Source organism: Homo sapiens, chromosome 20 (genome assembly GCF_000001405.40).
Source record: "Homo sapiens chromosome 20, GRCh38.p14 Primary Assembly".
Lineage (NCBI taxonomy): Eukaryota > Metazoa > Chordata > Mammalia > Primates > Hominidae > Homo > Homo sapiens.
In genome coordinates this window covers 41708588-41720174 of record NC_000020.11, presented here as the reverse complement: position 1 = coordinate 41720174, position 11587 = coordinate 41708588, and the positions used below count along the sequence as shown (strand labels likewise).

The 11587-nt window shown below is 45.0% G+C and overlaps 1 non-coding gene across 1 annotated transcript; it reads left to right on the top strand.

The window, feature by feature from the left end:
• Positions 1–7574: 7574 nt before the first annotated feature.
• On the top strand, positions 7575–7696 carry LOC124900463 (small nucleolar RNA SNORA26). The gene has a single exon (XR_007067766.1). It is a non-coding gene; the product is annotated as a small nucleolar RNA SNORA26 (small nucleolar RNA).
• The last annotated feature ends 3891 nt before the right edge of the window (positions 7697–11587 follow it).

Sequence of the window (11587 nt, the reverse complement as noted above, 5' to 3'; positions counted from 1 at the left end):
AGAAGAATGGTGTGAACCCGGGAGGCGGAGCTTGCAGTGAGCTGAGATCACGCCACTGCACTCCAGCCTGGGCGACAGAGCAAGACTCGGTCTCAAAAAAAAAAAAAAAAGGAATATTTATGTCTTTTGCCCAGCATGACATTTCCAGGGCCCCTCCCTCTAGCTCCTTTGGAAGGCCTGTCTCCAACCTCCTTGATTTCTCTTTCTCCAAGGACAGTGAGAAACAGGAAAATCTGAAGACCAAGCTCCTATTTTTGATCTTCTCTGGAAGTAACAATTCCACCTGGATACATCCATGAGTAAACACAGCCCAGGCTGCCTCTCAGAAAAGATATGAGGCTCAGCTAGAGGTTCTGGGAATGTGGTAAGCTCTCTGCAGCAGATGGAATTCTGCTGCTGTGCCCAAGGAGATGGTTCTCAGAGAAATATCTGTCCTTGAACCACAGTTGCAACTCCAGAGTTTGTAGTGGAAGGTGACTGCCATCGCTGCTACTGTATGTTCTGCCTCCTGGGACTGGCACAAGCAAGGAATCCTGAAAAAAACACTTCTTCCCCATGGGGGCCACCCTGCCAGCCTGGCGTGGCTGAGCAGGGAAGATGTCAGTGTGGCAGGCTGAATAACAGTCCCCAAAATGTCCATGTCCTAATCCCTGGAACCTGTGATTGTTACCTGATAGGGCAAAAGGGACTTTGCAGAGGAGATTAAGTGAAGGATCGCAAGATAGAGAGGTTATGCTGGACATCTGGGCAGGCCCGATGTAATCACGATGGTCCTTATAAGAAGGACAGAGAAGGAGTCAGAGTCAGAGAAGGTCACGTGACAATAGAAGCAGAGAGAGATTTGAAGATGCTATGTTTTGAAGATGGAAGAAGAAGCCAAGACCCAAGGAATGGAACTCCAGATGCTGAAAATGTCAAGAAAACACATTCTCCCCTAGAGACTCCTGAAGAAACAGAGCTCTGCTGCTATGTCTGAATATGTGTGTCCACCCAAATTCATATGTTGAAATCCTAACCCCCAAGGTGATGGTTTTAGGGGATAGGGTCCTTATATAAGAGGCCTAAAGGAATTTGTTTGTCCCTTCCACCATGTGAGGGCACAGCCAGAGGGTACTATCTTTGAAGCAGGGAGCAGGCCCCTCATCAGACACCAAATCTGCCAGCATCTTGGACTTCTCAGCCTCCAGAAGTATGAGTAATGATTTATGTTGTTTATAAATTGCCCAGACTAAGATAGCTGCCCAAACACACAAAGGCACCTGCCAACACCTTGGCTTTCACCTAGTAAAATACATTTCAGACTTCTGATCTCCAGAACTGTAAGATAATACATTTGTGTGGTTTAAAGCTGCTAAGTTTATGGTAATTTGTTACAACAACAATAGAAAACTAATACAGCTAGAGTCCACTTCTCACTGCCTCTCCACTCATCTCTATTCACCTTCTGCTCTCAGCTGCCTTCTCAACCAAATGTGACCCTCATGGTTCCAAGACAGCTGCTGCATCTTCACACTTTACATCCTTTCAACTTCAAGTCCTGGAAGAGTCATCTTGACTAATTTAGGCCATCTGCCCACCCTCTGGCTCTACTAGGATATGAGAGGAAGGATTTGACTGAAGAAATGGTAGGACCCTTAGATCCTGCAGTGGGAGAGCAAATCAAGTCTGCACACCATGGCAGTAAAGTCATGGTAAAGAGCAAGGATTGGGCTAGACTGCTTGTCACTAGACTGCTTGTCACTACTGTGTGACCCTGGGTAAATTACTTGACCTCCCTATGCCCCTTTTGCATAGGGATAATAATAGCCCTCAGCTAATAGGGCTATTATGAGGACTAACTGAGTTAACAAATGTGAAGCTTTTAGAACAGCCCCGGAACATAAAAGAGTTATAATGGGATTTTATTATGATCCTCCCAGAGGAAGTCAGATGTTTTGAAGAAGAAGGATTAGATGCTGAGTGGCCAAAAATATTGATGAATCTCCACCTTGGAAATGGGACTCTGGACAGGACAATGTGTATTTGTCTATTTCTAAAGCTCTAATGCAGGCTTTCCAAGGCCCAAAACTTGTTGCAGTGGATCCGACAAGGTTTAGAGCTCCCCGTCCAGCTTGGCCATGAGTAACACAGATGGAGGGTTAAGGAGGGAGGAGGAGATGGCAAGGAAGATTGAAGCTGGAGAGAGCCAGCCCTAAGGTTCAATCAGAACCTTCAGCACACATTCATATGGTCAATATGGACTGGATGCTGGGGACAGATAGAGGATTAGACACTGGCCCTGACAAGCAGAGGAGGATGAGAGAGGCTCAGAACTATAAAATGACAATGCAGCTAATCAATGTGAGCATTAGTGTATTTACAAAGGACTATGGCTGCACAGAGGAGAGGCTGGCTCACTGCCCAGAAAATCCTGGAAAGGCTTTGGAGAGGGGGTGCAATGTAAGCTGGGTCTTAAAGGATATCTGGGCAATCTCTGGACAGAGAACGTGGGGAAGGCATCCCAGCAGAGAGAACAGCTTGTGCAAAGGCACAGAAGTGTGGGCATCATTGCTGAGGGAAGGGACACTTTTAGATCCTGGTCCTTCAGCAGGGTTGCTGTCCTAGCCAAGGACTGGGGTGAGTCAGCAGGCCGAATGAATAACACGCAGCCTCCTTCCCCAGCCTACAGGCTCTGCATGATCTGTCCTCTGCCTTCTCTGGTCCCCCACTGACCCCTACCCTGCCCCCACCCGGAACCATGCTCCCCCCACCAGCCTTCTGTTCCTGAGATTCACCAAGCTCAGTCCTGCCTGGTTACTCCCCTGCCTAGAACACACCCCCCTACCCCCAGCACATTCTATGGCCAGCTCCTTTATGTAATTAGGTCTCCATTCAAGTGTCACCTGCCCAGAAAAGTCCTCCCTGATCACCAGAATGAAACAGCCACCCTTGATCATAATGCTCATCCTTCACTAAAAGTCTTATTCATTGACTTGATTTTTGATCCACCCTCCCTCTAAAGGGTAAACTCCATGAAGGCAGGGCTCATGTTTATTTGTTCTCTGCTGTGTCCCTGGTGTCTTGGAATATGCCTGACACATTGTTGGTCCCTGTGATGATTAATTTTATGTCTCAACTTAACTGGGCCATAGGGTGCCCAGATATTTGGTCAAACATTATTCCAGGTGTGTCTGTGAGGGTGTTTTTGAATGAGATTAACATTTAAACCAATGAGCTGAGTAAATTAGGTTGGCTCTCCCCAGTGTGAGTGGGCCTTGTCCTATCAGTTGAAGGCCTGAATAGAAAAAAAGGCTGATCCTCTCCCAAATAAGAGGGAATTATTCCTACTCAGCAGTCTTCAAACTGGACTTTGAGTTTTTCCTGCCTTTATGCTAGAGCTTAAACATCAGCTTTTTTTTGGTCTCAAGCTTGCTAGCCTTCAGACCACAACTACACCATTGGCCCTCCTGAGCCTCCAGCTTGCCAACTCACCCTGCAGATCTTGGGACACGTCAGCCTCCATAATCATGTAAGACAATTTCTTATAATGCATGTCTTTGGTTCTATTTCTGTTGGTTCTATTTCTCTGGAGAACCTGACTAATCCAGTGCTCTATGAATGTGGAATGAATGAGTAAAAGAATAAATAAACAGCGACTTACAAATCCTCTTTCAAAGACAAAGTCTATGCCAGAGAGTCTAACTCAAAAAAAGCAACATAGAGCCCGAGGGGGGCTTCCTGGAGCCACTCCCAGGGACTTGCATGTACCTGCAGGTTTCTGGGCAAAGAAAGAGTGGCGCTCCAAATGAAGGATTGGCTCTCCTGGTCATAGCCTGGGCTTGAGCTTCTTTTCATATTTACTTCTCCCTTCCCTTTTCCTCTGATCCATCAGGAATGGCTTCCCTGGGCCAACCAGCACTTCCCAACATGACTGCATGACCAGCTGGGCTAGAGTGTGGTCCTTCCTAGTGCATCCTTGTGCAAGATAATGATTGTTCACCAGCTCTGAATCAACCAGACCCAGGTCAGGGAGCCAGCTTAGCCAGGATGTCAATAAAACATAGAAAGCTGTCATGTAAAGGTTTTCCCTTTCATATTTCTGCTTTAACACTGCTCACAAGGTTTCAAAAGCACAAGTATGATCAACTTTCTTGAGCTGCCACCTCCCATGATGTTGTTTGTCACAAAGCATTCCTAAGCATCTGCATGCAGTGTCCCCATGCATTCTTCCCATGCAGGGATCCTGCAGATAGTCCCTTTTCTAACTTAATAACTACCTTTTTTAAAATGCTACATATCAGGTACTAAGCTAAGCATTTCCCATTATGATATCTCATTTGACCCTCAAGAGAACTCTAGATGTGGGATCTGCAGCACAGTTCTCTGGGTGGCCTTAGACCAAGACAGTTCTCCCCCCATTTCTTATCTGTAGTTCTCAAGAATAACTGCAGGACATGCTGGAAATAAAACATCCTGAGATAAGAGGGGAGCTGGTCAGGACAGTCCAGGCTCTGTTCCAATCCCTCCCTAGAAATGAGATGTCCTTCCAGGCTTAGCCCAGAGGGTCTTGTAACCCCGAGGTATAAAACTCAGTGTGGGCTGCTTTCTGAGGTCCCTCAGCTGCTATGAAAGTGGAGCACATGCAGTTGAGACTCCATCCACCCAGGCAGCTTTCCTGAACCTTGGAGGACTGGGTGGCAATGAATCCTCGGTTTCTGTTGTCCCTTGCTGCCTGCCTATCTGTAAGTAATAAGCTTGTTTACTTAACTTGTTGTGAGCATGGGTGTTCTGTCTCACCAAACTCAGACCAGTGGGTAACCAGCGCACAGGAAACCTTCTTTACAGAGTCTATTAATAAAGAAGGGGAAACCAAGGATCAAAGATGTCATTTGTGGCTGGGAGCGGTGGCTCACGCCTGTAATCCCAGCACTTTGGGAGGCCGAGGCAGACGGATCACAAGGTCAGGAGATTGAGACCATCCTGGCTAACACGGTGAAACCCCGTCTCTACTAAAAATACAAAAAAAAAAAAAATTAGCCAGGCGTGGTGGCGGGTGCCTGTAGTCCCAGCTACTCAGAAGGCTGAGGCAGGAGAATGGCTTGAACCCAGGAGGTAGAGCTTGCAGTGAGCCGAGATGGTGCCACTGCACTCCAGCCTGGGAGACAGAGCGAGACTCCATCTCAAAAAAAAAAAAAGATGTCATTTGCTAAAGACCAGAGAGCTAGTGAACAGCAAAACCTGCACTGCTAACTACTATATATGTCCTACGGTGGCCCTGTTGCAGAGAAGAAAAGAATCATCTGAATCAGAGGACAATATTTTAATCCAAAGGCTACGTGGCTACAGGTTGAAAGCAGAAATCAGAGCTATCCACAGGTGCAGGAGCCAGTGGGCCATCATCCATCAGCAGTGGGAGATGGCATTGGCAACCAGGGCTGAGGTTTGCTGGGAGCCAAGCTCTGGGCTTCAGCAGCCACATCTCATTTTCCTGAGGTCATAGCAGAAGCTCTGCTCCTCTGCCTCTCAAGTCATCAATTCTGACCCTGGCATCCAGCTACAAAAGTGATTTTACAGCATCTTGGGGATTTTGTGTAAAACCAAATTTAGGCATCAGGACAGTTAAAGGACACCCCACCCTCTTGCTATGACCTGGAAGGAATTTGCTTTACCTCTTTTCTATGAGATTGCAGATCCATTCCAAAGCTCTAAAGTCTAGCAGGCAAATGGGAGGCATGTGTGGCATTGGTGAGTCTGGGCTCTGCCCTAAAGAGCCAAACATTTTAAGAGAAAATGTTGAGAAAGGACCTCAGTACTTAGAATCTGAAGACTTGGATTTGAGTCTTCAATATATCACATAGTCTTTCTGGGTCTCAGCTTCCATTTCTCAAAAACAGTAGCAATATCTCCACCAGCATCTACTTTACTGCTTGGCTGTCCGTGCTCCAGGGAAACTGCAGAGGTCAGTCCAAGGTCAAGAGTATCCATCCTTAACAACCCAGAACCTCTTTCACAAGCCAAACAGAACCTAATTGTTGGAAGACAGCCAACTCTCACTCCAAAAAATAGCAATGTGTTCTATTGAAAATGCAATGTTTTAGTAGTTTAATTTCTATGCATTTTAGCTTTGGAAATTAAATTCAAGTTTGGAAAATTAATTTTTTTAATGTAAATTGGCTTTGGCTGTGAAAGCGCTGAGATCAAGTTCTGGGGTGTGGCCTTCAGTGATAATGATCATATTTGCATATCAATGGCCTCTCACTTCATTTGCTGCCTTGGCCAGCCTCTGAGCTTAGATGGCTCAAGACAGAATGGAAATATGGGAGAAATACTAGTCGTTCTTCCTTTTCAAAAGTTTAAGTATAGGAAGTGCTTTGAAATAAAAATTTCCCCCATGGACTTTTGAAGTCAGACTGAGCAGATAAAATAGATAATATTTTATCAAACTTACCAAGATTATAAGAGAGTACGGAATAAATTCCTTAATGTTTGCATGGGTGCACATGCCCTTTGGAATTCTCACTGGGCCTTCTAGAGATGATTCATGCACCCCCAAATATTTATTGAGAGTTCACTTAGTGCCAGGCACTGTGCTACGTGATAAGGCTACCCAGAGGAAGAAGACAGATGTGATCATTGTCCTTTGGAGCTTGGAAGTAGGAAAGGCAGATCTGAATGAAATGTTGAACAACTGTAGAAATATTATCTGTAATAAGAGCTCAGAGTAAAAAATAGAGTATTCTAAGAGTGTATAAGAGGGGGCTTCCATGAGTGAAGGGACTGATGAGCAAAGACATGAAGGAAGAACACACGTGAAGGGAATCAGTGTGTGTGTGTGTGTGTGTGTGTGTGTGTGTGTGTGTGTGTGTGTCTTGGGAAGAAGGAAGGGAGAGGAATTGTTTGGGGTTTAAGAAACAGAAAGACAGTGTAGCAGCAGTGCAGACAGCAAGAGGAAGAATGGTATACTTGAATGCTATGGACAGTGGCCAGGAGCCTGAGAAAAGATTTTTTTCTTTTTTGAAAGAGCAGTAAGAATCCATTAAAGGGTCCTAAGTAGGGGGACAGGTGATCAGATTTACACTCTTAAGAGATATTTTGGTTGCTGTATGGAGATGAGATTCAGAAGTGTGCCTGTGTGGAAGCCAAGAGATCTGCTAGGAGGGTGTAGTAGAATCATGGCTTGGACTAAGCTGGTAGTAGAGTAGATGGAGAGAATGAATGGATTTGATCATTATTTAGGTGGTCAAAACAGCGGGACTTGGTGATGGACTGGCTACAGGAGGAGGGGGAAAAGAAGCTGGCATCAAGGATGATGTCCAGGTTTCTAGCTCACATAACTGAGTGGGTGGTGGTGTAGACTCATGGGGATGTAGACTCATGCTGGGGGGAAGGGGACTGGTGTAGAGACTCAAGAGTTGAATGCTGAACATGTTAGCATGAGGGATCTTTGAGACCACCTTTGAGATGAAAGTAAGTAGCTGAGTATCAGGACTGTGTTTAGGGAAGCAGGCTGGGCTAGAGATGGACATGTGAGAACCCTCTTAGCCTTGGAATGAGCTGGGATTAGATGGTGTCAGAAAAGTGACAAGCCCTTTCCTGTGTCCTTTTAAGGTTGACACAGTGCTTTAAGAGCCTAACACAGAAAGGTAAAGTAAGTTTCCGTAAAACCCAGAAATGATATTGCAAAATTCCTCTTTGAATCATGTCTGGAGTCACAGCTGAAGAAAAAAAAAAGAAAAAGAAAAAGGAGAATAAGAAATGAGCCTCAGGTAACTCCAACATTCCTGCTCTGTAAAACTGTCTCCACCACAAGTTGTGGCCCTTGGCCCATGCAGTTCTTCTATGTGCCGTGTGTGATATGCTTGCACCTCACTGCTGATGTACTTTTTCTCTTTTCCAGTCCAAACCTTTCTTTTTACCCTCTGATTGGATAATTTCATATATTTTGTTTTCAAGCTTGCTAATTCTTTCCTCAGTTTGATCAAGTCTGCTGTTGAAGCTATCTAATGCGTTTTTCAGTTCAGTTATTCTAGTCTGTATTCCTAGAATTTCTATCCGATTTTTTAAATTATTCCTATGTCTTTGTCAAATTTCTAATTTTGTTCCTCGATTGTTTTCCAAGTTTTTTTGTTTGTTTGTTTGAGACTGAGTCTCACCCTGTTGCCCAGGCTGGAGTGCAGTGGCACGATCTCAGCTCACTGCAACCTCTGCCTCCTGGGTTCAAGTGAGTCTCTTGCCTCGGCCTCCCAAGTAGCTGGGATTACAGGTGCGCACCACCACGCCTGGCTAATTTTTGTATTTTTAGTAGAGACGGGGTTTCGCCATGTTGGCCAGGCTGGTCTTGAACTCCTGACCTTGTGATCTGCCTGCCTCGGCCTCCCAAAGTGCTGGGATTACAGGTGTGAGCCACCACACCCACCCTGTTTTCCAAGTTTTATTTAATTTTCTATTTGTATTTTCTTATGATTCCCTTAACTTGTTTAAGAGGATTCTGAATTCTCTGTCTCACATTTCATAGATCTTCAATTCTTCTGGGCCTGTTGTTAGAACTTTGTTGGTTTTTTTTGGTGATGTCATATTTTCCTGAGTTTTCACAGTCTTTACATCTTTACACTGATGTTTGCATATCTGAGGAAACAGGCACCTCTTCTAGTTTTTGCAGGTGTTCTTTGCTTGTTTTAGACCTTTACTACTTAGTATTGGAATTTAAATGCTGGCCTGTTGTTTCTGCCCATTCTGGGGAGGACTTACAGCAAGCACCAGAACTAAAACACTGCACTGGAGCTAAATTGTTGCTTTGTCATTGTTTCTTGGTCTAGGGAAAACTTATAGTAAACACAGGAGGCTAAATGTTGCCCCAGAACTATATGGCCACCCTGCCATAGTTTCTCAGTATGGGGAAGACTTAAGCAGGTACTGGAACTTAATCCTGACCTTTTAGTTGTCTCCTGGCCAAGGAAACGCTTTCTGCAAGTACCTGGGCATTGTGGAAAATCCAGCCAGGCATTTGGGCCTTTCCATGGACTGTGCCCCTGCAGCACTATGACTCCAGCCAGTCTCTTCAACATGGCATCCCCACCAATCAGAGCACAGAGTAGCCACCAAGATCCAAGTGCCAGTGCTGCAATCGGCATCCTGCTCTTTGTCTCTAAGTCATCCCAGGTGGTTCAGCCCTCCCAGCACTCCCAAAGGTTCCCATGGGACAGGACCAGAGTGGACTTCCCTTGAAGATTCCCAGACCATGGAGAGATCAAACATCCACCCCCAATTCCCTCCTCTAACTCTTGAAACAATGGATTGGGGGAAATTCTCTGTCCGTAGCATTCTGCCTGGTTAGGGGAGGGGACAGCACAGTCTGAAATGATGACTTCCCTTACCGGTCACAGATTTTCTCAATTCTGTTCGTCCAGGGTTTTCTCCACTTCTCCTCCAAGTGTTGGTGTGTTGGTGAACTCAGGGTGGTATTCTGGTCTTGAATAGTTTCTAGTTGTATTTTTTTGAGAGGAGTGATGCCAAGGGATCTTCTACTCTGCCATCTTGGTTGACATCACACTAGTACAAACTTTTCATCAACACATCATCTACATAGTTTGTATTCTTGCTAAGGATATATAATCTGAATCTAATTACGAGAAAACAATCAGACAAATTGAGATTACAATTTACAATATACAAGTCAGGTAGTGTGGCCCTTTCAAAAGCGTCAATTTCATTACAGACAAAATTAAATTAAATTAAAATAAAAAACAAGGCTGGGCGCAGTGGCTCACGCCTGTAATCCAAGGTCAGGAGATTGAGACCATCCTGGGTAACACAGTGAAACCCCGTCTCTACTAAAAATACAAAAAATTAGCTGGGTGCGGTGGCGGGCGCCTGTAGTCCCAGCTATTCGGGAGGCTGAGGCAGGAGAATGGCATGAACCCGGGAGGCGGAGCTTGCAGTGAGCCGAGATCCGCGCCACTGCACTACAGCCTGGGCGACAGAGAGAGACTCTGTCTCAAAAAAAAACAAAAAAACAAGGAGACAGGCCAGGCGCAGTGGCTCACGCCTGTAATCCCAGCACTCTGGGAGGCCGAGGGGGGTGGATCACCTGAAAGGTCAGGAGTTCCAGACCAGCCTGGCCAACATGGTGAAACCCCGTCTCTATTAAAAATACAAAAATTAGCTAAGCACAGTGGCAGGCGCCTGTAATCCCAGCTACTGGGCAGGCTGAGGCAGGAGAATTGCTTGAACCCGGGAGGTGGAGGTTGCAGTGAGCCAAGATCGTGCCACTGTACTCCTATCTGGGCAACAGAGCAAGACTCTGTCTCAAAAACAAATAAAGCAAGGAGACAGTTCTGGAATCTTGATTTAAGGAAACCAAGGAGACATAACAACCAAAGGAATACATGACCCTTGACTGGATCCTCCTAAATTGAAAGGAAAAAATTATAAGGGTTATTTTAAGGACAATAGGGAAAATAGAAACATATTAGATAATATTATTGTATCAATGCTAAATTTCTTGTGAGTGATCATGCTATTGGAATTATGTAGGAGAATGTCCTGGTTCTCAGAAGGTATGTACTGAAGTGTTTAGGGATGACATGTTTGCAACTTTCAATTGGTTCAGGAAAAAAAAAAGTATATACAGAAAGAGAAATGACACAAATATGGGAATGCATTAACAAATTGGAGACTCTAAGTGAAAAGTATATGGGTATTCATTGTACTACACTTGCAAATTTTCTTTAAGTTTTAAATTTTTCAAGATAAAAAGTTAAAGAAATTGCAATGACTTCTAAGACCAACTATCCAGAGTTAGGCCAAACTTCACAAGCCATGGGTATAATCCTCCAGAAGACTGCCTTCACTTCAGACACCAGCTGCAAGTTTGGGGGTCCCCAGGCCACTCTCACATCTGATCAACTGGCTACAAACTCGGGAGTGCTCGTTACCCCCTCAAGTTTGATAACTCACTAGAATGACTCACAGAACTCAGGAAAGTTCTGTACTTACAATTGTAGTTTTATTATAGCACAAGGATATGAATCAGAACCAGCCACAAGGAGAATACATAGGCCAAGGTCTGAGAGGGTTCCAGATGCAAAACTTCCATTGTCTTCTCCTAGTGGAGTCAGGGCTTATTGCCCTCCCCGCACATTAATATGTGACAATACACAAGGTATTGCCAATCAGGGAAGCTCACCTAAATTACAGTGTCTAGAGCTTTTATTGGGGTCTTACTTTGTAGGAGCAATCGATTGAATCATTGGCTATGCCCCGTCTCCTCTTCCTCTGAGGAGTGATATCACATGGCTAAAAACCCCATCCCTCTAATCACACCATGGTTCTTCCTAGTGTGGCCCGCTCCCATATTGAGTCATCTCATTAGCTTAAACTATTGAGGTCCACCATGAAAAACGAAGACACTCTTCTCAATCAGAAAATTCCAATTATTTACAGGTTATCTACCTTCTAAGAACCCAGGACAAAGGCAAGCCAACGTTTTCATTTTTTCGTCCAGGCTGAAGTGCAGTGGCACGATCTCAGCTCACTGCATCCTCCACCTCCCAGGTTCAAGCAATTCTCCTGCCTCAGCCTCCCCAGTAGCTGGGATAACAGGCACCCA